This window comes from Homo sapiens, chromosome 19 (genome assembly GCF_000001405.40).
Source record: "Homo sapiens chromosome 19, GRCh38.p14 Primary Assembly".
Taxonomy (NCBI): domain Eukaryota; kingdom Metazoa; phylum Chordata; class Mammalia; order Primates; family Hominidae; genus Homo; species Homo sapiens.
In genome coordinates this window covers 51,192,314-51,219,831 of record NC_000019.10, presented here as the reverse complement: position 1 = coordinate 51,219,831, position 27,518 = coordinate 51,192,314, and the positions used below count along the sequence as shown (strand labels likewise).

Sequence of the window (27,518 nt, the reverse complement as noted above, 5' to 3'; positions counted from 1 at the left end):
AATAAATGTGATTCATCACATTGACAGAATTAAAAGCAAAAACCATATAATCATCCCACTAGACAAAGAAAAAGCTTTTGATAAAATCCAACATCTCTTCATGGTAAAAACCCTCAACAAACTAGACATTAAAGGAACATATCTCAAAATAATAAGAGCCATCTATGACAAACCCACAGCCAACATCATACTGAAAGGGTAAAAACTGAAAGCATTCCCCCTAAGAACTGGAACAAGACAAGGATGATCACTCTCTTCATTGCTATTCAACCTGATACTGAAAGTCCTATCTAGAGCAATTAATCAGGCAAGAGAAAGAAACAAAAGGCGCCCACATTGGAAAAGAGGAAGTCAAATTATCTCTGTTTGCTGATGATAGGATCTTAAATCTAGAAAACTCTAAGGACTCCTTCAAAAGACTCCTAGATTTAATAAATTAATTCAGTAAAATTTCAGGATACAAAATCAATGTACAAAAATCAGTAGCACTTCTATACACCAACAGTAATCTAACAGAAGAAAAATCAAGAAGTCAATCTCATTTTCAATTGCAACAGAAAAATACCTAGGAATATATTTAACCAAGGAGGTGAAAGATCAGTACAAGGCAAACCACAAAATACTGATGAAATAAGTTGTAGATGACACAGATGAATGGAAAAATGGAGCATCCCGTGCTCATGGATCAGAAGAATCAATACCTTGAAAATGACCGTACTGCCCAAAGCAATCTACAGATTCAATGCAATTCCTATCAAAATACCAATGTCATATTTCACATAATTTGAAAAAAAATTCTAAAATTCATATAGAAACAAAAAGAACCCAAATTACCAAAGCAGTCCTAAGCAAAAAGAACAAAGCTAGAGACATCACATTACCTGACTTCAAATTATGCCACAAGGCTATAGTAAACAAAAAAGCATGGTACTGGTATAAAAATAGACACACAGATTAATGAAACAGAATAGAGAACCCAGAAATAAAGCCATATACTTACAGCTACCTGACTTTTGACAAAGTCGACAAAAACATACACTGGGGACAGGACACCTTATTAATTAAACGGTGCTGGGAGAATTGGATAGCCATGTGCAGAATAATGCAATGGACCCCTATCTCTCACCATACACAAACATTAACTCAAGATGGGTTAAAAACTTAGATGTAAGACCTGAAACTATAGAAATACTGAAGAAAACCTAGGAAAATCTTTTCTGGACATTGGCGTAGGCAAAGAATTCACAACTAAGATCTCAAAGCAAATCCAACAAAACAAAAAATAGATAAACAGGATGTAATTAAACTAAAAAGCTTCTGCATAGCATAAAAAATAATCAACAGAGTGAACAGACAACCTACAGAATGGAAGAAAATATTTGCAAACTGTGAATCTGATAAGAGACTAATATCCAGAATGTACAAGAAACTGAAGCAGCTTAATAATAAAAAACAAAAAATCCCATTAAATAGTGGGCAAAAGACATGAATAGGCAGTTTTCAAAAGAAGACATACAAGTGGCCAAGAAGCATGTGAAACAGGTTCAACATCACTAATCATCAGATAAATGCAAATTAAAACCGCAGTGAGAAATCATCTTCCACCAGATAGAATGGCTATTTTTAAAAAGTCAAGAAATAACAGATGTTGGTGAGGATGTGGAGAACAGGAAATGCTTATACAGTGTTCATGGGAAGGTAAATTATTACAGCCTCTACGGAAAACAGAGAGATTTCTCAAATAACCAAAAATAGAACTACCATTTGATCCAATGATCCCACTACTGGGTAAAGGAAAAGAAATTATTATATCAAAAACATACCTGCACTCGTATGTTTGTAGCAGCACTATTCACAACAGCAAAGATATGGAATCAACCTAATGCTTATCCATGGATGATTGGATAAAGAAAATGGGGGTTATACAATGGAATACTACCCAGCCATGAAAAAGAATGAAATCATGTCTTTTCAAGCAACATGGTTGGAACTGAAGGTTATCTTAACTGAAATAATTCAGAAGTGGAAAGTCAAATATCATATGTTCTCATGTATAAGTGTAGTTAAATAATGTGTATACATGGGCATAGAGTGTGGAATAATAGACATTGGAGGCCAGGAGTGGTAGCTCATGCCTGTAATCTCAGCACTTTGGGAGGCCAAGATTGGTGGATGACTTGAGGTCAAGAGTTCAAGACCAGCCTGACCAACATGGTGAAACCCTGTCTCCACTAAAAATACAACAACAACAAAAATTAGCTGGGTGTGGTGGCAAGCGCCTGTAATCCTAGCTGCTCGGGAGGCTGAGGCAGGAGAATAGCTTGAACCTGGGAAGCAGAGGTTGCAGTGAGCCAAGATCACACCATCGCACTCAAGCCCGGGCAACAGAGTGACTCCGTCTCAAGAAAAAAAAAAAACAAAACAACAACAACAACAAAACAAAAACAAAAAAGACATTGGAGTTTCGAAAGAGTGAGATGTTCAGAGGAACATTCTGGCTTTATCCATGCTCTTCCCTTCCCCTCAATGACTATATCCATTAGAAAATCCTGTGAGCTTGACCTTCCAAATACATCCAAAAACACATCCTCACTCCAACCCTGCCTGTCTGGTTCAAGACCTCATTCCTCTTCCTGGAGGATCCAGCAGCGCTCTCCCAGTCTGTCTGTAGGTGCCTTGACCCGCTCAGGCCTGCTCTCGCCAGGGAGCCAAGGGATCCAGTCCAGTTGAGTCTCTCCTCTCCACAAAGGCTCTAGGTTCCTGTGTGGCCTGCAGGGCACCAGGTGGTCTGCAGTGTCCTTTCCACCGCTTGACTCCTCTGCCTCCCTCTGCTCTTAGACATGGGTTACTGGGTGTGTTTGCAACACCCAGGCCTACTGCTGCCTCTGAGCAATGCATTTGCTCTTCCCCCTTTTCCTTCTTCCTGGGATGCTTTTGCTTATATACACACAGAGCCTGCTTCCTCACCACCTTCATGTGTTAGCCCAAATATAATCTCTTCCCATCATCAGGTACAGAGATGGTTCCCCAGTATATCTTATGCTTCTTTCCCTGCATGATTTTTCTCTAAACATATATTGCCATCCTATATAGTTAAATACTTTCTATTGCTTATTCCTTTTTTTATGTCCATCTTGTCTTCAGAATATCTTTTTTTTTTTTTCTGAGACAGAGTCTCGCACTGCAACCTCTGCCTCCCAGGTTCAAGCAATTCTCCTGTCTCAGCTTCCCGAGTAGCTGGGACTACAGGCACATGCCACCATGCCCACCTAATTTTTGATTTTTAGTAGAGATGGGGTTTCACCTTGTTGGTCAGGCCGGTCTCGAACTCCTGATCTCAGGTGATCCACTACCTCAGCCTCCCAAAGTGCTGGGATTACAGGTGTGAGCCACGATGCCCAGCCCAGAACATCTTCTTAATACTGAGATTTCTGATGCTATGTCTACCAGTGAACCCCTGGCACCTACAACAATGCTGGCACATAGTAGGTGTTCAGTATAGTTACCAAAGAATCTATAGATTAATGAATAAATGTCACTCCTTCCCTCAATATCATACAAGAAACACACACACACACACACACACACACACACACACACACACACACTCGGGTGACATTTAAGACTGAGCCTGAAGGACAATCAGGACCTGGACTTGGCAGGAATGGGAGGGAAGGGCATTTCAGGAAACGGAACTACACATGCAAAGTCTCAGAGTCATAGAGGGCTTGGCCCAGTGGGTGTGGGGAGACTTTGGGTGACACAGAGAAAGGAGGGATCAGGAGAGTCCAGTGGAGGATAGAACGTGCAAGGCCTTCAGTCCAGACGGTGGTGTTCTCCAGCAATGGAGAGGAAACAAGGAGACAAGGCTGTTCAGACTGTGGAGGCACTGGACGAGGAGGCAGCTAGAAGCAGAGTCTGGAGGCCTGTGCTGGGGAGACAGGGAGGCAAAAGGTGAGGATGGTTCAGTGACCAGGGAGGAGGTGAGGGCCCAGGCATGACCAAGGTCAGGACGGAGAAAAGGGCACCAAATGAGCCCTGGTTGGGAGAAAGAGGGACAAGAGTGGGTGATTTATGAGATCTGGAGAAGGTGGGGAGGTCAAGGTGGAGACCCACAAGCTGGTTCTGACTTTAGAGATGGGGCTAAAGAGAAGTGGGTTTGGGGATGGACATGGGAGGTTCAACTTTGGCCATGCTGAGTGCAGCTATCCTGGGGGCCACAGAAAGAAGTCATCCAGCACGATATTGGAGGGTGAGACGTCCACAACACTCACCTGAGAGATTAGCCCATGGCAGTGTTTTCAGCCTCCACAGCTGCTGCTGCCTTTGCCACCTTCCTCCTGCAGGACCTCACACTGAGTGAAGAGATCGGGGCATATAAGTGTGGCCAGATTGGGGTGCAGAGGGCAGCAGACTCACCTCCCTGTGCGCTGCAAAGGGGCTGATAGAAAATGTGGTAGACAGAGCAGGCCTAGCCCTCAAGATCTTCTTTATGAGAACAGAAACCTCTCCACCCTGGCATTTGGCCTCGGGTTGGGACAGACACAGGCCTGACTACAAATGAACCATGTGGAATTCTCACCACCAGTTGAGCTCCTTGCCTGGTCCTAGGTGCTCTTAAGGTATTTGAGTATCTCCATGATTGAGATTCTGGGATTCAGCATCATGTCTCCTGCCCTCCACACACTTCCCCTGGGGCAGTGCTCACCTGAGGAAGGTGAGGCAGAGGCAGAGAAGCAGGATCTTCACAGCTGCCTCCCCAATGGCCACAAGAACCACCTTTGTCACAGGCCTTGATTTCCCTACAAAAAAGTGGGATGAGGTTGATTCACTTGACAAGCCACAATCTGTGTCCATATTGAACATAAGAAAAGGAAGGTTCTCCAGACCCTTCAGGCATCCCTGGCTGTGAGATCACATGAGCCCAGGGCTTACCATAAACCATGCCCTGACTGTCCAATGGTTGGGTAGAGAAATGATATGTAAGTTGGACTTTATCAAAATTTAAAATTCTGTTTAGTGATTGACACTATCAGAAAAGTGAAATGATAGCTCACAAAATGGGAGCATATATTAGCAAATCATGGATTTGGTAAGGGTCTAGTATCCAACATATATAAAGAGCACTTACAACTCAAATTACAAACAACCGAAATTATCCAATGAAAAAATGGACAAAGGACTTAAATAAAACTTTTACCAAAAGATATAAATAATCAATAAGACCATGAAAATACGCTCAACATCATTCATCATTATGTTAATGCATATTAAATCTACAATGATGTACCTTACACTCACTATTAGGCTATACATCTTTTAAATAAGAAAAATGAGGCCTGGCACAGTGGCTCACGCCTGTAATCCCAGCACTTTGGGAGGCCAAGGTGGGCAGATCACGAGGTCAGAAATTCGAGACCAGCCTGACCAACATGGTGAAACCCTGTCTCTACTAAAAATACAAAAAATAGCTGGGCATGCTGGCATGTGCCTGTAATCCCAGCTACTCAGGAGGCTGAGGCAGGAGAATCGCTTGAACCTGGAGGCAGAGGTTGCAGTAAGCTGAGATCATGCCATTGCACTCCAGCCTGGGTGACAGAGTGAGACTCCATCTAAAAAAAAAAAAAAAAGAAAGAAAAGAAACAAAAAAAAAAAAAGGAAAAGAAAAATGAGGCCAGGCATGGTGGCTCATGCCTGTAATCCCAGCACTTTGGGAGGCCGAGGCAGGTGGATCACCTGAGGTTGGGAGTTTGAGACCAGGCTGGACAACATGGTGAAACCCTGTTTCTACTAAAAATACGAAAATTATCCAGGCGTGGTGGTACATGCCTGTAATGCCAGCTACTCAGGAGGCTGAGGCAGGAGAATTGCTTGAATCTGGGAGGTGGAGGTTGCAGTGAGGTGAGATTGCACCACTGCAGTCAAGCCTGGGCGACAGAGCGAGACCCTATATCAAAAAAAAAAAAGGAAAAAAAAAAAAAGAAAAAGAAAAATGAGGCTGGGCGCAGTGGTTCACGCCTGTAATCCCAGCAATTTGGGAGGCCGAGGCAGGCAGATTACTTGAGGTCAGGAGTTCGATATCAGCCTAGCCAACATGGGGAAACCCTATCTCTACTGAAAAAAAAAAAATAGCCAGGCATTGTGGTGGGTGCCTGTAAACTCAGCTACTTGCGAGGCTGAGGCACGAGAATTGCTTGGACTGGGGAGGTGGAGGTTGCAGTGGACTGAGATTGTGTCACCGTGCTCCAGCCTGGACGACAGAGCAAGACTTCAATCTCAAAAAACAAAAAACAAAACAAAAACAAACAAACAAAAAACAAAACAAAAGAAAAGAAAAATGAGAATTTTTGCAAGAATATGGAGAAATTGCAACCCAAACCCATTGGTGGTGCAACATACATTGGTGCTGACACTGTGGACAACAGTCTGGTATTTCTTCAAAAAGTTAGAGGTTTTTTTTGAGTGATTAAAATGTTCTGAAATTAGATAGTGGGATGGTTAAAGAACATTGTGAGCATTCTAAAAGCCACTTTATCATACAATTTAAAATGATTAAAATGGTGAATTTAATGTTATGTGAATTTTTATCTAATAAAAACTACACGGACACAACAATTGTCACCTGACATTGGCAAAAACCAAAAGGTCTCCTTCCACACTGGGTTGACGAAAACAAGCACCTTGACCCCTTACTTTTGGGAATGTCAGCTTGCCCACTCTTGATTGAGAAAAATTTTGCCATATTTCACAAGATTAAAAAGAACGTCTAAGCTAGCTATTTTGCGTTTAGGAACAGGTCCCACATACATAGGCATACACTTGCTGAAGTAGATACAAGATTATTCATTGCAGTGTGTCTGTTGGTAGAACAAAATCAATGCCATGCTTTTCCAGGAGCAGAAGATTTATACAGAATTTCTATTCATGCAATGGAATACCACAGGCGTCCTACAGGAGGATAAGAACAGTCTATGCTGTTGCTGCCAAATGACCTCTGAGATCCTTCAGGTGAACACACCAAGGCTCAGAGCAGCCAGGGTGGACACTGGTCAATTCTGGGGAGGAGGACGGGCATCTAAGGACAGACTCCGCTGTGCATTGTTAAGTTCTTCCCATGAGACTGTATCACCTGTCCAGAAGCACTTAGGTCTGAACTACAGGGGGAAATAGAAAGAGGAGGCAGGAGGCGTGTTCAGGTGATGAATGTAGGGAAGCTGAAAGGCTGGGTCTGTGTGTGAATATCACCCTGCCCTTGTTGTGGGGTTGAGGGGGTTGTGTGTGGGGTCTGAGGGGAGTGAGGGGGCGATGGGGACAGGTGTTCAGATGGCCATGGGGGCTGAGGATGGGAATGGGGCCTTGGTTCACCCACAAAAGGGTGTCAGATCACCAGGATGAGGTGAGGTCAGGATGAGGAGAGGCCCACCCCTGCCCTGAGCTGAAGGTCTCCTCTTCCCAAGGAGGGAGTTTCTATCCTACCTGTGCCTTCTCCTAGGGAGACACCAATCTTTAGGTTCCCTAGAGCATCTAGGACAATAAGAGAGGATTTCCCATTCAGTTGGGGTGAGGGTGAGATAAGGGCGGCACTCCTTCCCTACCCCAGAAGCCACAGAAATGTAGAGAGACAGGGCTTGTGGCCTAGGTCTTCTACTCAGCCAGGCCTCTAGGACACAGCCACCAGTGGCCCCAGTCCTGGTCCTCCTCTCTCCTGGTCCTCCCCCCATCACACCCTCAGGGACCCAGGCGTCCTGGCCCAGCACTCACAGGAGACACTGAGTTGGATGGTTCTCTCCGTGGTCACACCAGCTCCGGGGAACGTCACTCGACAGGTGAGGTTGGTGCCGTGGTCCTGGGGCCATGGGATGATCGTGAGCACTGAGGAGTGGAGGGTCCTGGGGCCCAGGGAGATGGGGGCAGCTGACATCCAGGAGAAGATGGGGGGCGTCCCCTGCTCACAGGCCGAGGGCACAGAGCAGGTCAGGTTCCTGGGGTGGCCAGATTCCAGGGTCCTCGGGATGAAGATGCTGGGCCTGTGGGTCAGGGCTGGTGAGGAAACGGGGATGCAGGATCAGGAAGGGGTGACTGAGGTACAGCCCTGAGGGAAGCTCAGGTTCTGGTCCGGGTCCTCCCCTGAGTCTGACAGGCTTCATTCCCAACCCCCTTCCAGGACATGGGTCCCATCCCAAGCCCTGTCCTGAGGTCCCTTTGACCTTCCCTTGTGGCTGCTTCTGAAGCCTGTGCCTCACCTGTCACATGCACAGAGAGCTGGGGAGATTTGTAACTGTGTTTGGTACTTCCTCTCTCCATCCGAAAGAAGTATGAACGATTATCCCTCCTCCTGGCGTCTACGATGCTCAGGGAGCAGTTGTTCTTACTGGGATCCCCAAGGAGGCGGAATCAGCCCTGAGTCTCCTCCTGTACTTCTTGATCTAGCTTGTTTGTGGCCACTGGAGAGTCCCTGGATACAATGGCTCCTTCCCGGAACCAGTAACCATGAACTGAGAAATTCCTGTTGTAGTAGGGTATGGGATGGGAGAAAGTGCAGGGCACGAGGACGCACAAACCCTCCTGTACCGTCACTGACTCCTGCACTTGCAGCCGGATTTTTGGATCCATAGCCAGGGCCCCTGTGGGGAAACGAGGGTCAGCTCGGCCCAGCCCGACAACCCCTCTCCCCGCAGCCATTCACCTGCCCACAGCAGGGGCAGCAGTAGCAGCAGTGGCATGTCTGAGGCAGAGGCTTCCCGGGCTTCCTGTGTGAGCAGAGAAGAGGAAGGGAGTGGAGGGGAAGGACTACAGGGCCGGACAGGAAGCTGGGGAGGAGCAGGAAACCTCAGCCCTGCATGGAAGAGGAACCTCAGACCCACACGTGCTCAGAGCTTGTCCCCTCCACACAGATTGACCCTCATGGGCCAGAGATGCCAGAGACTCGCCCAGAGATGGGAGGAGATGGAGCAGAATCTGAGTCTTGCCTTCCAGGAGCACCAGAGCCTGGATCAGTACCTTCGGGGCCATCTGAGACATGCGAACCCCATGTCTAAAGTCCTTCCACTCTGAGGTGCTTTTCTGTGCACAACTGTTTACACCAGGCAGCTGGTCACTCCAGGCCTGGCCCGAGTCACGGCCTCTTCTTGACCTGTGGGGTGGTTCGTCCTGCAGGATATAGGTTTCTGTAGGGTTCATGTAAGTGTCTGGGGCAGAAGAAATGAAGAAGGGTCCTAGATGTGGTGAAGGTGACAGTCATTCATTCATTCAATTCATTCATTCATTCATTCACCTAAGCTATACCGAGCATCTATGTGCCAATGAGGCTGGAGACAAGAAGAGATGCCACTGACCTGGTCCCTCCCCTTTAGATACTCCCCATCCATAGCCTCATGTTCACCACACACAAATACTGTTTGGCTTCACAGCTGTGGATGCTGGTGACTTTGCCATATGTCATGGTATCATATGAGGTATTTTTAAGAAGTATGACTATGGATTTTTTCCCCTGGCAGTTAGTACACTGATTTGCAATGTTTCAGCGACATCTCTAAAATAAGAAACATGTAGTATTTTCATGTAAAACGAAAGCTTCTGTGAACAAGTCCAGAAGAAATTTCTTTTCCATTAGTGTTGCCATTCCCTGCAGTGGGGACAGCAGCAATTTTTTTATGGGGCTTACCATAGAGATTAGCATTTTCTTTCATGTAAAAATACATTTCTGATAATTAAATGAGGCCCAAAGACATAATGTTTCCAGACAATATGAGTTGAATGTACAGACAAAATTAAAATTTAGCTTCAGCTCATATGGTTTTTTATTTTACTCTCTGTGGTACACACCTGGGAGATCCTCAATGCCTGAGACATATCAGTATTTGCAACCATATACAGGTAAAATCTCTATACACAGTAGTATCTATAAAAATGTTCATTCATCCTACCTACCATAGAGAGGTATTTCCATCCTCTTTTTAAATATAAGGAAGTGAGTCCTCAATAGATAAAACAATATCTTGCTGTAAGTTATTTTAAAAGATAGTATAGGCACATAATATAATATTCAGTATATTTACTTTTAACAGTAAAATATCATACCACATTCATGGAGTAGAAGGATACATAAGAAAATCTGTCTTACTGTGTTTCTTTAATGAACTTAACTAGGTATAATTTACATGAGGTGATGTGCACCCACTTGAAGTGTTCATTTTCATGAATTTTGACAGGTGCATACAGCCCTGTTGTGACTGGCACAATCAAGATATACAACATTTCCACTACACCAAGGGCTTTGCCTAACCTCTTTGCAGTTCATCATTCCCACTTCTTGTGCCAGGCAACCACTGAGATCCTCTCTCTCATAGTGTGTCGCTTTTGCCTATTTCAAAATTTCCTAGGAAGGAATGTACTCATCTGTGTCTGTATTCTGTCACTCAGCATATTTTTTGAAACTGAACCAAGTTGTTTGTGCCTATAGTTTTCACAGTGTGATATTGCTCAGTAGTATCCCATTGTATGAATATACTATAGTCCTATATTTATTCATCTATTGATAGGCATTTGAGATTTCCCCATTTTTCACTAATGGTACTCAGGTGTAAGTCTTTTTATAGACTTTTGTTGTTGTTGTGGCTGTTGAGATGGAGTTTTGCTCTGTTGCCAGGCTGGAGTGCAGTGGCGTGATTTATATATATGAAGTCTCGCTCTGTCACCCAGGCTGGAGTGCCATGGCACCATCTCAGCTCACTGCAGCTTCTGTCTCCGTGTTCAAGCAATTCTCCTGTCCTGTTGTCAATCACTGCACAGGACATCAACACCAGACAAGGACATTCTTTGAGCATAATGGATCAAGACAAGAATAAGACCACAGCACAGTCATGCCTTAACACAGACACAAACAAGAATGTTGTCCAAATTGGAAAATGGCTACATATTTCCCATCTAGGGTAACAGGAAAGACTGATGATTATTTACCAATTACAGCCACAGCCTTTCCTATAGACTAAATGTTGGTGTCACCCTAAAATTCATGTATTGATGTCCTAATTCTTAATGTGATGTGATGATATTTGGAGGTGGGGCCTTTAGGAGATAATGGGATTTAGGTGAGCTCATGGAAGTGGAATGCCCATGCTGGGATTATGGCACTTGTAAGAATGAGGAAGGGACCAGAGCTCTCTCTCTCCCATGTGAGGATATAGTGAGAAGGCAGTCATCTGTGACCCAGGAGCGGGGACCTCACTAAGAACCCAGTTGTACTGACATCTTTATTTTGGTCTTCCAGCCTCCAGAACTATGAGAAATAGATGTTTGTTTTTTGTTTGTTTGTTTGTTTTTTGAGACAGAGTCTTGTTCTGTCACCCAGGCTGGAGTGCAGTGGCACGATCTTGGCTCACTGCAAGCTCCGCCTCCTGGGTTCACACCATTCTCCTGCCTCAGCCTCCCGAGTAGCTGGGACTACAGGAGTCCGCCACCACGCCCGGCTAATTTTTTATATTTTTAATAGAGACGGGGTTTCACCGTGTTAGCCAGGATGGTCTCGATCTCCTGACCTTGTGATCCACCCACCTTGGCCTCCCAAAGTTAGATGTTTGTTTTTTAAGCTAGCCGGTCTGTGATATCTCTTATTCTAGCCCAAACTGACTAAGGTAGCTTTGGTCTAGTTCTTTCTCCTTTTTTATTAGATGTATGAAGATCCAGTGTTAGAATTATGCTGACTTCCTGACATCCAAAGAAGCAAACACTGCTTTTTAAAAAGTTTCCCCAAATCACCTAACACAAGTCCAAATCCTATAATAAGCCAGTTATAATTCTCTCTTACTGAAACACCTCATGGTTTTCGTGGTTCCTCACTGCAATGAGTAATAACCCAACTACATATCTATTCCTGGTGCCTGCTGATCTCTGGCCAGAAGACACTGACATGTTTATTGACTTGGTCAATGTTGACATTTGTTTCCTTGAAGCTGTTCCAGGATTTGGATTTTATTAATGACTTTTTGTTCTACTGATGGCAGCTAGGGTTAGTGAGATGAGGTGGGTTCCCATCCCCTGCTCGCTGCTGACCTGAGGACTATGTCCCACTGTGTTTGGAAAGCATCAGCCCTGCCCTGTTTCCTTACTGTCCTCCAGTCCAGCCAGAAGAACATAGGCTGGGCGCAGTGGCTCATGCCTGTAATCCCAGCATTTTGAAGGGCCAAGGCAAGTGGATCACCTGAGGTCAGGAGTTCGAGGCCAGCCTGGCCAACATGGTGAAACCCCATCTCTACTAAAAATACAAAAATTAGCCAGGTGTGATGGTGGGTGCCTGTAGTCCCAGCTACTCAGGAGGCTGAGGCAAGGAGGATCGCTTGAACCTGGGAGGTGAAGATCGCTGTGACCAAGATCATGCCACTGCACTCCAACTGGGTGACAGAGTAAGACTCCATCTCAAAAAAAAAAAAAAAAACATAATAAGAACAGAATAGATTGGAATGCATGTTTTCATCTTTTCTAATTACTCTCTCTGCTGGACGTTTGCCTAATGACCTCATTTTCTGATTGGAAGCAGGAATGTCAGCCCTCTCTTAGGAGTATTTCATTGCAATCAACATAATTACACAGGAAACTGGTGTCCCTCTAAAGTGGAGACGTTTGGACAAGTTGTTCCATAAGTCACTTTTCAAGGTAAGATGGAACAACCAAGTTGAAGGAGGGATGGTAGCAGCTGCAATGAGGTGAATAGTTTTATAGTCAGGAAAGGGTCTCTATCACTACACTGTGTTTATTTCCTCTTAAGCCAGAATCAAGGTATCTTCTGAGAGTAGGGTGGTGGGAGGCAGCAGAGAATAGAAGAACCCAGTTCCTGAGTTTATGCAAGATGCCCATGGGAGCCCAGAGACGTCCTATGGCGAGACTGGCATGTACTCACACAACTGAAACCCTCTCAAGATAAGGGTCATTCTTTGACCAGAGAAAACAGCATCCTTCATGCCCTTCCATATTAATCTCTGCCTCCACATACAGTCTGAGAAGCAACCAGTGTTCTGACATTTGTCACCATCAACTAGTTTTACATGTTTTACAACTTCCTATAAATGGATTCACACAGTAAGCACTTGCTTCACCCTGAGCATCTCTGCTGTTTCTTTAAAATTTCAGTAATATTTGAAAATCAGAAAAGAATTTCTTCCATTTGCTAATTTAAAGTATAACATTCAGGCTGGGCCCGGTGTCTCACGTCTGTAATCCCAGCATTTCGGGAGGCCAAGGCAGACGGATCGCCTGAGCTCAGGAGTTCAAGACCAGCCTGGGCAACATGGTGAAACCCCATCTCTACTAAAAATACAAAAAACTAGCTGGGCATAGTGGTGGGTGCCTGTAATCTCAGCTACTCAGGAGATGGAGGCATGAGAATTGCTTGAATCCAGGAGGCGGAGGTTGCAGTGAGCTGAGATCGCACCGTTCTACTCTAGCCTGGGTGACAGAGTGAAACTCTGTCTCAAAAAAAAGAAAAAGTATAAAATTCAGTGGCATTTATTGCATTCACAGTGCTGTGTAATCATCACCACCATCTAGTTTCTGAACATTTTTATCACCCTGAAAGGGAAACAGTCACTTTCTATTGCCTGCTTCCCAGAGCCCCTGGAAACTACTAACGTGTACCTATTTCCATGGATTTATCTATGCTGGATATTTAATGTGAATGGAATAATTTCAGTCTTTCATCATTGAGTGTAATGTTACCTGTGGGTTTTCTCTAAATGGCCTACTAAGCTTGATGAGTTTCCATGTCTGGCTTCTTTTACCAAGGGTAATGTTTTCAAGGTAAATCCATGTTTACGAGGATAATCCTTGTTGTAGCATGCATCATTATTTCATTTCTTTTTTTGGACTGAGTGATATCCCATTGCATGGAAAGACCACATTCCATTTATCCATTTGTCAGTTACTGGGCATTTTAGTTGTTTGTACTTTTTGGCTCATGTGAGTAGTAGTGCTGCCATGAAAATTTATGTACAGATTTTCATTTGAATATCTGTTTCCAATTCCTTTGGGTATATCCCAAGGAGTGAAATTGCTAGTCAATATGATAACTGTATTAGTCTGTTCTTGCATTGCTATAAAGAAATACCTGAGACTAGGTAATTTGTGAGGAAAATAGGTTTAATTGGCTCACAGTTCTGCAGGCTGTAAGGGAAGCATGGCGACTTCTGCTTCCGGGGAGGCCTCAGGAAGTTTCCAATCATGGCATAAAGTGAAGCACGAGGGAGGAGTCTCACATGGCGGGAGCATGAGAAAGAGAGTGAGGAAGGAGGTGCTACACACTTTTAAACAACCAGATCTCATGAGAACTTACTCACTGTCTTAACAGCACCAAGGAGATGGTGCTGAACTATGAAAATTCCACCTCCACGATCCAATCACCTCCCACCAGGCCCCACCTCCAACATTGGGGATTACAATTTAACATGAGTTTGGACAGGGACATAGATAAACCATATCAATAACTCTATGTTTAACCTATTGAGGAACTTGCAGACTCTTTTCCACAGCGGCTGAATCCTTTTACATTCCCAAATACAGTGTATGAGAATTCCAATTTCTCCACATCCTCACCGACACGTGTTATGTTCCGTTTTACTAATTACAGCCATCTTAATCGTTGTAGAGTTTTGCTTTCCATTGCCATAGTGACAATAATGTTGAGCATCTTTTTGTGTGTTTGTTGGTCGTTTCTATACCTTCTTTGGATAAATGTCTATTCATGACCTTTGTCCATTTTAAAGTTGGGATTTTTGTCTCTTTGTGGTTGAGTAGCGAATCTTCTTTGGGGATACTAGGCTCATTAGATATATTATTTGCAAATATTTGGTCCCATTCTTTTTACTTTCTTGATAATATCCTTCGATGCATAAGAATTTTAAATTTTAAGTCCAATTCATCTATTTCTTCTCATGTTGCTTGTGTTTTTGGTGACATATCTAAGAAACACCTTCCAAATCTAAGGCCATGAAGATATACTTGTATGTTTTCTCCTAAGAGTTTCATAATTTTAGTTCTTACACCTCAGTCTTTGGTCCTTTTTGAGTTAATTACTATACTGTGTATTTTCTTTTTTTCTTTTTCTGGTGGGGACAGGATCTCACTTTGTCACCCAGGCTGGAGTGCAGTGGAATGAACACAGCTCACTGCAGCCTTGACCTCCTGGGCCCAAGTGATCCTCCCACCTCAGCCTCTTGAGTAGCTGAGACTACTGGTGCATGCCACCATGCCTGGCTAATTTTTTGTGATTTTTTTAGAGGTAGGGTTTTGCTGTGTTGCCCATCCTGGTCACAAATTCCTGAGCTCAAGTGATCCACCCGCCGCAGCCTCCCAAAGTGTTGGGATTACAGGTATGAGCCACTGCGCTCGGCCTATACTGCATACTTTATGTGGAAGGAGTCCAACTTCATTTTTATTCACGTGGCTCTCCAGTTGCCCCAGAACCATTTGTTAAAGACATTATCGTTTTTCATTAAATGGTCTTGGTATCCTTACTGAATTATCAGTGGACCATAAATTTATCACTTTATATCTGGCTCTCAATTCTATTCCATTGATCAGTATCGGTACCACCTAGTTTTTTATTTTATTTTATGGCAGCGAAAGTTTATTTAAAAGCTTTAGAAGAGTAAGGAAAGCAAGGAAAGGAAAGAAAGGAAGGAAGGAAAGTACACTTGGAAGAGGGCCAAGCAGGCGGCTTGAGAAACCAAGTGCCTACCCAGTTTAATTCCTGTGACTTTGTGGTAAGTTGTAAAATCAGGAAATGTGAGTCCTACAATGTTTTCACTTTCAAAATCATTTTGGCTATTTGAAGTCTCTTGTGATTCCATATGAATTTTAAGGATAGTTTTTTTTTCATGTCAGTAAAAACATCCATTAGGGTTTTGATAGGGATTGCACTGAATCTTGATTTGAGGAATATTACCATCTTAATATTAATTCTACCAATCCATGAACACAGGGTGTTTTTCAGTTGATTCAGGTCTTCTTTATTTTCTTTCAGCAATATTTTTTATTTTTCAGTACACAAGACTTACACCTCCTTGGGTAAATGTATTCCTAAATATTTTATTCCTTTTGATGGTATTATAAATGGGGGTGGTGTTCTTAATTCTTTTCAGATTGTTAATTGCTAGCGTATAGAAATACAACTGTATTTTGTGTTATAATCTTGTATCTGGCATATATGGTAATTTGCTTATTAGCTTTAAGAGAGTTTAGTGGGATACTTACAATGTTCTATATATAAGAAATACTCATCCTTTCCAACTTGTATACCAGTTATTTCTCTTTTTTTTTTCCTGTGTAATTGCCCTAACTAGAACCTCCAGTACGATGTCGAATAAAACTGGTTAAAGTAGGCATTTTTTGTCTCTTTCCTGATCTTAGAGGGAAAGAGTTTCAGTCTTTCGCCATTGAATATAATGTTACCTTTGGGTTTTTCACAAATGCCTTTTATCACATTGAGGAAGTTCTTTTCTATTCCTTGTGTGCTAATCGTTTTAACATGGAAGAGTGTTGGATTTTGCCAAATATTTTTCCTGCATCAATTGAAAATGATTCCATGTTGTTTTCTTCATTCTATTAATGTACTGTATTACATCAATAGGTTTTCGTATGTACACCACCTTTGTATTCCTGGGATAAATCCCACTCAGTATTCTGTAGAGTCTTTTATACACTGCTGGATTCAGTTTGCTGGCATTTTCTCGAGGACTTTTTGCATCTATATTCATAAGTGATATCGGGCTGTAGTTGCATTTTCCTGTGATGTCTTTGGTATTATCAGGTAATACTGTGTTCATAGAATGGGTTAGGGCATATTTTCTCCTCTTCTATTTTTCAGAAAAGTTTGAGAAGGATTAGCATTAATTTAAAAAAATGTAATCTCAGCACTCTGGGAGGTCAAGGTGGGCGGATCACTTAAGGTCAGGAGTTCGAGTCCACCCTGGCCAACATGATGAAACCCCGTTTCTACTAGAAATACACAAATTAGCCAGTCATGGTGGCATGCACCCATAATCTCAGCTACTCAGGAGGTTGAGGCAGGAGAATCACTTGAAACCAGGAGGCAGAGGTTGCAGTGAGCCAAGATTGCGCCACTGCACTCCAGCTTGGGTGACAGAGCGAGATTCCATCTCAAATAAATAAATAAATAAATAAAATAAGATAAAATAAAATAAAATAATAAAAGCAGTCAGAGAAAACCACAAACTACAAACAAACAAGCAATGATAAAAATTACAGCAGAATTCTCATAGGAAATTACACAAGCCAAAACCATTTGAGTTACTGGAAAGAAAAATGTTAACCTAGAATTCCATATAAATTTCAATAAAAGTATTTTTAAGTGAATGTATATGAAATGTTTCCAGACAAACCACAGTCAAGGGAATTCACTGCCAGCACACCTATACTGTAAGAAATACACGAGATCTTCCGGCCAAAGGAAAATAATGCCATAGAGAAACTCGGTTGTATACAAAGTAATGAAGAGCAATTGAAGTGGTAAACATGTGGATAAACATAAAATAGTTTATTTTTCTAATAAAAAGTCTCTTTAAAAATTGACTGTGTAAAATAAACATATTATGGGATTTGTAAAAATACGTTATGGGAATGAATTTGGAGCTCATGAAACCCACATTAAAGTAAGCGACAGAAACAAGGTATTACAGGGAAAATAATTGAAATTCTGGTAAAGCATATCCATCTATTTCCTCACCTGTCCTGACAACCGCTCCTGTAGAGCCATAAGGAAGAGTCATGGGGAACAGAGGTGAGGGGTGGAGAGAGGTTATTCTGCATGGGAGGTGGGGCCGGAGCACCCAGGAGCTCTTTGCTCCAGCCCTGTGCAGGATGAGTCTCAGAACACGTGGTCTAAAGGACCCTCACCCCTGTCGGGCTCTGGAGCCCAGACCTCAGCCCTGCTGTGAGGAGGAAGTTCAGTCGCTCAGTCACCCAGAGTAGCACTGCCCCTTGGGATCCTCTGAGCCAGTGGGGTAAACACCATTCTGAGAGGAGAGACCAGCACTATGGAGGGTTCCTTTGGGGAGAAGATGGGTGAAGTCAGCCAAATTTGGGGGCTCAAATTCCAGGACACCTTGAGAAGAGTTGCTTCCCTGGTGCAGTAGATCCAGGTGAGGCTGTGAGTTAAAAGAAAGCCATCCCCCGCTACCCACTCCCCTGCCCCCACTTAGGGCCTCCTTTAGCAGTGTGAGGGTCAGAGGTCAGGAGCCTCACTGGTCTCCAGAGATTTGGGGTGAGTAACAGGTGGTACCAGGCATAAGAAAAGCTGGAGGGTGACTGAGGTGGGAGTTTCCTGAGTCCACACTTCCCCTGCCTATGGACCCCTAGAATCAGGTGTTCTGCTAACACTCCCCATGCACAGCCAGGCTCAGGGAGATGGGGTGGGAGCCCAGCAGGGCCTATGCCCGGCAGGTGAATTCTCCTTCGTCTCCTGAAACCACCTGGGGCAGCTCCAGGACCTGGGGATGCAAGAGCTGGGAGGGGATCATGGTCAGGCTGCCCTGGGACCAGCACAGCCTGGCAGGGGGGCTGCCATCAGCATCACAGACCAGGTGTAGGGACTGCCCTCCTGCCCCTACCAGGAGTGGGCATTGCCTAGGACCTGAGGGACGAGGGAGACCGAGAGAGCCAGAGGGGCAGGGCTGAGAGGCCCTTCTCTCCCTGTGTCTTCCCTCTAGACTCAGGAGAGGAAACTGCGTTTCTGAGACAAGCATCACAAGCAAGGGCAAGTAGGGGCGAAGACCCCCAGCATGCAGGGGTCGGGAGGCTCCTTAATGGTCCCGGGACAGGGGCATGGAAACATGCGGAGGACTTGGCCGTATCGGGACATGGAGAGAACGTCCCAGGACGACCGGCCTTGATGTGCAAAACTGTGGAGGGCGCTAACCCTCGTGGTTCTGGCCACTTGGAGGAACCAAGACAGGTGACACACTTGGGCTTTCTCCAGGAGCCACAGGAGCCAGGGGAGGAGCTGAGTAGGGAAGGGACAGGGAAAGATCTGGTTAGAGAGAGACCCCTTTTTGGGATCTGAATTGTGGTCGGCTGGAGGGAGCAAGACCAGAAGCTGCTAGGCCAGGAGGGAGGCTGCTGCAGGTCCAGGCATCACCCGGGTCCAGGTGAGCGAGGCCAGAGGTGGGGATGGAGGAAAGGAGTGAGTTGAGACAGTTTCCGGAAGTCAAGTTTGCAAAACTCACCAACTCATGGGAAGTACTGGGGAAATACAGGGATGTGCAAAGAGACTCCCAGGACATTGACTCTGGCTTCTCAGGTGGGAGGGGCCTCCCAAGGGGGAGTGGGATGTGCTCAGCACCAGCTGAACCAGACAGAGATTTATGGGGGTCTTCAGGGCAGAGGTAGGACTGGGACCACTAGGGTGGAGGAGCTTCCTGGAGGAGTCATGCAGAGAGCGGCTGGAGGCCAAGACCCCACTGTGGGAACTGCTGGATATAAGGTTCCTGTGGGAGACGGGGATGGCATGGCCAGAGAAGTGGCAGGGAACCGGGAGGAGGCTGTCATGGGAGAGTGAGGGGAGAGGGAAGGATGGGGGAGAGGAAACGCCGGTGGTGACAGTGGGTTGTCAGCTAGGAAGTCACAGTGACCATGGAGAGCTCTGCCTGGGGAGGGGGCAGAAGCGAGACTGGATGGGCTGAAAGTGAGGGGCAGCGTCGGTCACACTCGATGACCTTCCCCTTATTGGACCCCTGAGACCTCAATTCTGCCCAGGGCTGGCAGAGACCCACCCCCTTCAGAGAGCTGAGGGCATCTCCCACCTGTGCTGCCGTCCCTGAGATGCAAATGCTGAGGTTCCGTGGAGCATCTGGAGTAGAAATCAGTAACTGACCACCTGCCATGTGACGGGCAGTCCTGAGCAACGGGGTGGTGTCTGAGTGTTCCCTCCACTTTGACCCCAGCCAGGCCCCCAAGAAGAGGTCCCCAAGAAGAGGTCCCCAAGAAGAGTCCCCCAGTAACTCAGATTCTCCGCCCCCTTCTCCCAAAACCCAGTGAACTCCAGGACCCAGGGGCCTGGCCAGGTGCTTTCAGGACAGATTGATTGGGATGGCTCTCTCCGTGGTTGCACCAGCTCTGGGGAAGGGCTCAGGTGAAGCTGTGCAACCCTGGGGTAAGGTGAGCACCAAGGAGTGAGGATTCTTTCCCAGGGAGGTGGGGACCACATTGATCCAAGAGAAAGTGGGCGGGGGGAGGTCTTCCTCTTACAGGTTATGTTCCTGGAATGTCCAGATTCTAGGGTCCCCTGGATGTGGATGTAGTGTCTGTATCAGGGCTGGAGATGACAGAGACAGAGACCCAGGCCCTGCAGGTGGGGACCCCTAAGTGTGGACCTAAGAGCAGCCTCTCCCTGAGGCAGCTGGACTCCCCCAAACCCTCCCCAGCGCCCCATCTCCCTGGGTCCCTTTCAGGGTGAGAAGCTGGGGTACCAGCCCAGCCTTGCCCCAGGGGGCCCTCAGTACATACCAGTGTGTTCTTTCTTGCCCTGATTCCCCACGTGCACAGAGAGCTGGTTCCCACTGTAATTATATCTTGCATAAGCCCTCTCTCCACCCTGTACAAGTGCGTCCCTGCATCCCCGCCTCTGTGCTTCTGTGATGTCCAGGGAGCAGGTGTTGGTCCGGGGGTCTCCACTGAGGTGGAATCGGCCCTGGGTCTCCCCCTGAATGTTGTGATCTGGGTTGTTTGTGGACACTGGAGTGTGCTGGTATATACGGGCCCCATCTCAGAACCAGTAACCACAGCTGCGGTAGAATCATTGCAGCTGTTTTTTGAGGAGAAGATGGAGCAGGGCACAAAGACGCATGGGCTCAGGCACTTCCAGCCAGAATATTGCCTCCTGAACCATGTCCCCTGTGGAGAATGAAGGTCAGTGAAGTCCAGCTCCCCCGGCCCCTCTCCCCACTGCCCACAGCAGGGGCAGCAGCAGCATCGCTGAGGCGGGACTTCCCGGGATCCCTGTGTGAGCAGAGAAGGGGAATGGAGTGGAGGGGAAGGGCTGCAGGACCCCCAGAGGCTGGGGAGGAGCAGGAGACTCAGCCCTGCGTGGAAGAGGAACCTCAGACCCTCACACAGTCAGAGCTCATCCCTCCGCAGAAAGCTGCAGAAATCCCCAGGCCCAGGACCCCACGACCCTTGATTCTTTTTCTCCTGTTGATCTGCCTGTTGTCCGTTTATTTCCTAGAGTCAGTTATCGAACCCTCAGGGAGTACAGGGAAACTCTTCTCTCCTCTACAACCCAGAGTATACATCACAACATCAAGCAGCACATTGGGCATTAAAAAATACGATTAAGGACCAGGTGCGGTGGCTCACGCCTGTAATCCCAGCACTCTGGGAGACTGAGATGGGTGGATCACTTGAGGTCAGGGGTTTGAGACCAGCCTGGTTAACATGGTGAAACCCCGTCTCTACTAAAAACTACAAAAATTAGCTGGGCATGGTGGCACGTGCCTGTAATCCCAGCTACTCAGGAGACAGGTAGGAGAATCGCTTGAACATGGGAGACAGAGGTTGCAGTGAGCCGAGATCGCACCACTGCACTCCAGCCTGATGACAGAACGAGACTCCTTCTGAAAAAAAAAAATATTAAAAAAATACGATTATGAAGCCTTTTTTGACGTCTAGTATGTGCACACAAGAAATTTCAGGAATGCATCCAAAATAAGAGCCATGCAAGATGTTTTCATGTAAAGCAAACGGAGAACACGATGTTCTTGGAGCCAGCGCGGAAAGAATTTCCCTTCCCTAAGTGCTCCCATTCAGTGCAAGGTGGCCTGGGGTGATATCCTTGGGCTTTTAGGGTGTTTGTTTTTGTTGTTGTTGTTGTTGTTTTTGAGACAGTCTCACTCTGTCACCCAGGCTGGAGCGCAATGGCACGATCTTAACTTACTGCAACCTCTGCCTCCCAGGTTCAAGCAATTCTCCTGCCTCAGCCTCCCAAGTAGCTGGGATTACAGGCATGCGCCACCATGCCCGGCTAATTTTTGTATTTTTAGTAGAGATGGGGTTTTGCCATATTGGCCAGGCTGGTCTTGAAGTCCTGACCTCAGGTGATCCGCCTGCCTCGGCCTCCCAAAGTGCTGGGATTACAGGTGTGAGCCACCGCGCTGGGCCAATAAATAATTTTATATTTATTTCACATATTTAATATTTATCTATTTCAAAATGTAAAATATATACAGGCATAAATACATAGTAATCGTTTAAAATAATTTTTTTTTTGAGATGGAGTCTTGCTCTGTCACCCACGCTGGAGTGCAGTGGCTTGATCTCCACTCACTGCAGCCTCCACCTCCTGGGTTCATGCCATTTTCCTGCCCCAGCCTCCCGAGTAGCTGGGACTACAGGTGCCCACCACCACACTTGGCTAATTTTTTATATTTTCAGTAGAGACAGGGTTTCACTGTGTTAGCCAGGATGGTCTCAGTCTCCTGACCTCCTGATCCACCTGCCTCGGCCTCCCAAAGAGCTGGGATTACAGGCGTGAGCCACTGCGCCCGGCCTATTTATAATTTTTTTTTAAAGATTTTTCAAATTTTCTGTAGCAAATGTATCCCTTCTGCAATTATAAAATAGTGTGTGTTGTTCTCACTCATATGTAGGAGTTGAACAATGAGAACACATGGACACAGGGTGGGGAACATCACACACTGGGGCCTGTAGGGGGATGGGGGACAGGGGAGGGAGGGCATTAGGACAAATATGTAATGCATGCGGGGCTTAAAACCTAAATGACAGGTTGATAGGTGCACCATGGCACATGTATACCTATGTAACAAACCTGCACGTTTAGCACATGTATTCCAGAACTTAAAGTAAAACAAAATAAAATAGTATGTGTTCTTATAAAAGCAAAAGGCAAATATATTTCCAAGTACTGCTTGAGATACCCTGTGAATTGAACATTTCTGAGTGGCTCTTGCTGCCTTTCCCCTTCTCTGTCTCTCTTTCTCTCTCTCTGTTATTTCTCAGTACGAAACACATCATCGAATCTGTGCACACCTCGACTCCCCCTCCGTGGGCTCCTGTCTACACAAGTCCACCCCTGTGTAGAAGTAATTCAGGAATTAAAAAGCAAATACTGCATGTTCTGACTTATAAGTGGGAGCTCAGCTATGGGTGTGCAAAGGCAACAGGGTGGTGTAATGGACATTATTGGAGACTCAGAATGAGGAAGGGGGTGAGGGATAAAAAACTACAAATATCCTAACCCTCAGTGTTATTCCTGTGAACAAATGTGAACCTGAATGAGCCACTCCTTCAAGACGGATCCTGAGTGGCTAACTGAGCCTGAGTTTAAAATAGAGCCAAGTACAGGTCACCCACGTACTCTGACTTCCCTGAAAACCCACAGCATTTTCATCTTCCGGACTTTCAGAGATCACCTGAGCCAACCAATCAGAGCTCAGCTGTGTCCACCAATGAGAACTCAGAAAGTTTCAATCCTTCATTTGCATAAACAGACCTGATTGGGAGCCTGGGCAGGACGCTAAACCTGACACTTCCCTTGGCTTTATGGAGCGCACCCTTCATTTTACACTGGAGTCTCTCTGGTTTGCAAACTGTTCACTGGAATAAAGTCTCTTTCCTCCAAAATCCTTTTCAGAGAACTTTAGTTTATACTCCTAATAGTGAATTTAGGAATAATGTAAAACTCCAACAAGGACACTGGTTATACGAACTTGGGTTTGGGATTTTACCAGCATGCCCTGCAGCCATTGAAATTGGACTTGCTGAGGAATATTTAATGGTACAAGGGAAGAGTACCCTGTTGAGGGGGAAAGCAGCTGGTCTTAAAACAGGACCAGTAATTTAAAAATTGGGTGACACTTCCGGGGGCCATGCCGCTCTGGGCTCCAGCGTCTGCTTGGTGGCCATCTCCCTCTAACTGGCCAGTGGCATGGAGGGGACAGAGTTGAGCCCCGGGCCCACTCTGGCCCAGACGTGAGTGCAGCTGCATGATGCATCCCAGCCTTGGCAACTGCAGGAGGCAGGGAGGAGCTGCAGCGCCGGCCGACCCCGCCTGGGCCTCAGATCCTATCACACAGGACAGCATGCACCTTAGATCCTGAAGAAAAGGCACAAAGTGTTCAAGTGATGTTTAGAAATCATTTCTGAGTGTATCTTACACATTTGGTGCTAAAGTACCCAAGCATTATGCGCTAGATCCTGATACACACTCCTCAGAATTCTTGCACGGCCAGGGTCAGGTGTCTCTGGGTGCCTGCCGAGCATCCTCCTCTCCTGACTGAAAATGACAATAACGACTCTTCGTCATCCTCCTCTTTCTCTGAGGCTGATGTGGCAAATGGGGTCTGGGTCATTGCAACGGCTGTGGCATGATCCGCGCTGTCATGACGTGGCTTCTGGTCTTCTGTGAGGACTTTGTGGTGACGTTTGTTGTGCTGCTGCCTTCCAAAGACTTCTGGTGCTCTGTGGTCAATGGGGTCATCTTAACCTCTTGGCGGCGTTTGCCTGTTGTCCTAGCTGGGAACCACGCTCACCGACCCCAGGGCGATACCCAAAGGAAAGGCTACAAAAGAATACACGGAGAGTGTGCAGCTGCAGCCCCGAGAAGTGATCTACACCTGCTCCAAGTGCTGCTGTACCAAAAGGAGATAGGTTAGACAGGCGGGTCACAGCCTCTCTTAAAGGGAAACAAACTTGCTAAATAGATGGAGAGAACATCCTGGGCTCATGGTCAGAACGTCTTGCAGCAAGGGGGTAGAAGGGCAGAAGGGAAAGTCCCCAAATTCGTGCAAGTGCAGAAACCCATGCTTAGTTAGTGTCCTTGGGCTGACCTATGCTCATTATAATAGTGAAAACACACCCTCACGTGGAGACTTAAGGTGCTGCTGAGACAGCGATGTATATGCACTAGCATGTACAGCCATTGCGCATGCGGGCCTAACAGACCACCCAGAACACGCTTAAGAGCAACACCGTCCCACCCACGCATGAGTAATCACAGAAGATTCCCCTAAAGGAAGTTTCCCCAGCGTCAGTCAGTGCTGTCTCACCTTTGAGCAGCCGCTCTGACCAGCTGTCAGAGTGCACGTTCACTTTGCAATTAACTGTCTTGCTTACTTTTACACTGGACTCACTCTCGAATTCTTTTGCCTAGTGAAGTCAAGAACCTGAACTGGCCCACCAGCTACAAAGCCAGAGCGTGCCCACCACTTCTGTACTTGCAAAAGATGTGTTTGCAAAACGGGTCACCAGAGCCTGTGGGTGAGCAGTTGTGCAGGAGGTAAGAATCTGAGTTTTCTGTGCTCTTTCCTATGTAGACAGTTCCGTCTTCAGCCCACGGTCTGATTCTCTGTGGATTTCAGTTTATCTCCTGTGTCCGAGGACAGTGGACTGAATGCAGTGAATCCTTACCTGCAATAATTGTCATCCTGCTGATCTTCCTGTACCTTGAGGGTTGTCTGTTTTCACTTTCACTGCAGTTGTTTGGCCATTGAATCCACTCGATAGGCAACAGACAAGACAGAGATCCAGAGATGGAAAAGTGAGAAGCCCAGGTGGGAGCAGAGGCTGCAATTGGGAAAGGGTGAAGTCTGTTTTTCGGGGTCCCCTTATTCCTTTGGATGAATCTCTTCTTCAGCTACTGATATAGGCAACTGCCGATAATGCCCTGGAAAGGAAGCCTGGGGTTCTCAGTGTGAGGCCCCTCTCATCAGGCTGGAACTTGCTAACAGACTTTCACTTATTTACTTGGGGTCTGAAGGGAATGAACAGCTCACCTGGGACCAACAGGGCAAATGGAACCTACACAAACCAATTGCTTACAGCAGGCAGAGTGTGATATATGTACAGTCACAGATTGCAGATTTTCCAGTTCTCACCTGTACAGCTAAGGAAAGGTGCATGGCCACGTATTGAAGCCAAACGTCATTAACTTTCCTGCAGAATTAGGATTTTTAAGAATACTTTGCATTTTTTTTTTTTTTTGAGACAGAGCTTGCTCTTTCGCCCAGGCTGGAGTGCAATGGCATGATCTCGGCTCACTGCAACCTCCGCCTCCCGGGTTCAAGCGATTCTTCTGCCTCAGCCTCCTGAGTAGCTGGGATTACAGGCATGCGCCACCATGCCCAGCTAATTTTTGTATTTTTAGTAGAGATGGGGTTTCAGCATGTTGGCCAGGATAGTCTCGATCTCTTGACCTTGTGATCTGCCCGCCTTGACCTCCCAAAGTGCTGGGATTACAGGCATAAGCCACCACGCCCGGCCTTTTTCTTTTTTCTTTTTTTTTTTTTTTGAGACAGAGTCTCGCTCTGTTGCCCAGGCTGGAGTGCAGTGGCAGGATCTCGGCTCACTGCAACCTCCGCCTCCTGGATTCAAGCGATTCTCCTGCCTCAGCCTCCTGAGTAGCTGGGATTACAGGCATGCGCCACCATGCCCAGCTAATTTTTATATTTTTAGTAGAGACAGGGTTTCACCATGTTGGCCAGGCTGGTCTCAAACTCCTGAACTCGTGATCCGCCCGCCTCAGCCTCCCAAAGTGCTGGGATTACAAACACGAGCCACCGCGCCCGGCCAAACAAGCTACTTTTTAAGAAACCGTTTCAGGGAAGAGGGAGAGCTGCCTCAGGGTCCTCCCCATGGGTTACTATGAATACACTGCATATTGCAGAACATCTTGATCCAGTGAACAGCCGTTCCTGTGTGGTCCTTTGTTGCTCTCCTGTTTTAATTTTGTTTCAAAAATCTTGAGTGTGTGAGGGCCTTGGAACTGATTTTTTTGTTGTTGTTCCAGCAAAATTAGCACTGTAAACATAGCACCTGCATGAGAGAAGAGCAGCGTCTCGGTGGCCTGATATTAATACCTCGGGCAGCTCAATGCTGGTGGCGGAAGACCTTCCGCTTGCTGGCCTGCATGGTGCTGAGCAGCTCCCCCGGGCTTCTCTGTGGCCTGGGTAGAGCCGGCCCTCTTGAGAGTCACTTTGAGGCCTGCGGAGATAGGATGGGTCCAGGTTGCAGCACAGCAGGTGCCAGCAGGTGTGTTGGTGTCAGGTGTGTTGGCTTCTTAGGGCTTCCCTATCAAATTCCCACAACCTTGGTGACTTAAAGCCACAGAAATTTATTCTTCGACATTATGAAGGCCAAATGTCCAAAATCACAGTGTCAGCGGGGCCATCTCCCTCGGAAGGCACTGGGAGGATTCTTCCTGGCGTCTTCCAGCTTCTGGGGACTGTGGCAGCAAAACCCCAAGCTCTGCTTCCGCTGTCATGTGGCCTTCCTCCCTATGTGTGTCTTGTGTTCAATTTCCCTCATTGCATTGGGACACCAGTCATGGCACTTAGGGCCCACCTCATCCAGTATGACCTCCTATTAACTTGGCTACATCTGCAAAGACTATTTCCAAATAAAGCCACAGACATAGATACTGGGGGTTAGGACTTGAACATATCTCTTTGGGGGACAAGATTCAACCCAAAACAACCGGCGCCCATGATCAGGATGATGGA

The 27,518-nt window shown here is 46.2% G+C and overlaps 1 protein-coding gene, 2 long non-coding RNA genes, 1 other non-coding gene and 3 pseudogenes across 14 annotated transcripts in view, besides 1 other annotated feature; 4 read left to right on the top strand and 3 right to left on the bottom strand.

The window, feature by feature from the left end:
• The window catches only part of CD33 (CD33 molecule), a 28,941-nt gene extending 20,185 nt beyond the window's left edge, over positions 1 to 8,756 (bottom strand). For 8 of the 11 annotated variants that reach the window (XR_007067046.1, XM_047439730.1, XM_047439728.1 and 5 more), the window contains exons 1-4: positions 8,244 to 8,756; positions 7,762 to 8,040; positions 4,709 to 4,802; positions 4,275 to 4,355 (exon numbers count right to left, since the gene is read on the bottom strand). The gene's annotated coding sequence lies outside the window, so the exon portion shown is untranslated. Of the gene's footprint in view, positions 1 to 4,274; positions 4,356 to 4,708; positions 4,803 to 7,476; positions 7,525 to 7,761; positions 8,041 to 8,243 lie in introns of all 11 variants that reach the window. The other 3 variants (XM_017027508.2, XM_011527531.3, XM_047439729.1) reach the window with 3 other exon arrangements.
• LOC107985327 (uncharacterized) overlaps positions 1 to 27,518 on the top strand; it is an 84,260-nt gene that overhangs the window by 51,336 nt on the left and 5,406 nt on the right. Inside the window, exon 3 of the long non-coding RNA XR_007067309.1 lies at positions 25,172 to 25,297. This is a non-coding gene — a long non-coding RNA (uncharacterized LOC107985327). The remainder of the gene's footprint in view (positions 1 to 25,171; positions 25,298 to 27,518) is intronic.
• LOC124904751 (uncharacterized) lies at positions 6,848 to 9,791 on the top strand. The gene is made up of 3 exons (XR_007067311.1): positions 6,848 to 7,008; positions 7,733 to 7,826; positions 8,895 to 9,791. It is a non-coding gene; the product is annotated as an uncharacterized LOC124904751 (long non-coding RNA).
• SIGLEC22P (sialic acid binding Ig like lectin 22, pseudogene) lies at positions 8,231 to 8,762 on the bottom strand (annotated as a pseudogene).
• MIR8074 (microRNA 8074) lies at positions 12,823 to 12,903 on the top strand. Its single transcript, NR_107041.1, has one exon. It is a non-coding gene; the product is annotated as a microRNA 8074 (primary transcript).
• Positions 20,511 to 20,976, bottom strand: SIGLEC21P (sialic acid binding Ig like lectin 21, pseudogene; annotated as a pseudogene).
• On the top strand, positions 24,277 to 25,712 carry LOC100133225 (zDHHC palmitoyltransferase 7 pseudogene; annotated as a pseudogene).
• Positions 24,881 to 25,030: an enhancer, noted in NCBI's record as "active region_15010". NCBI's record gives its function as "activates an Ori minimal core promoter by ATAC-STARR-seq in GM12878 lymphoblastoid cells {active_cell/tissue: GM12878}" and the evidence as "EXISTENCE:reporter gene assay evidence [ECO:0000049][PMID:35858748]".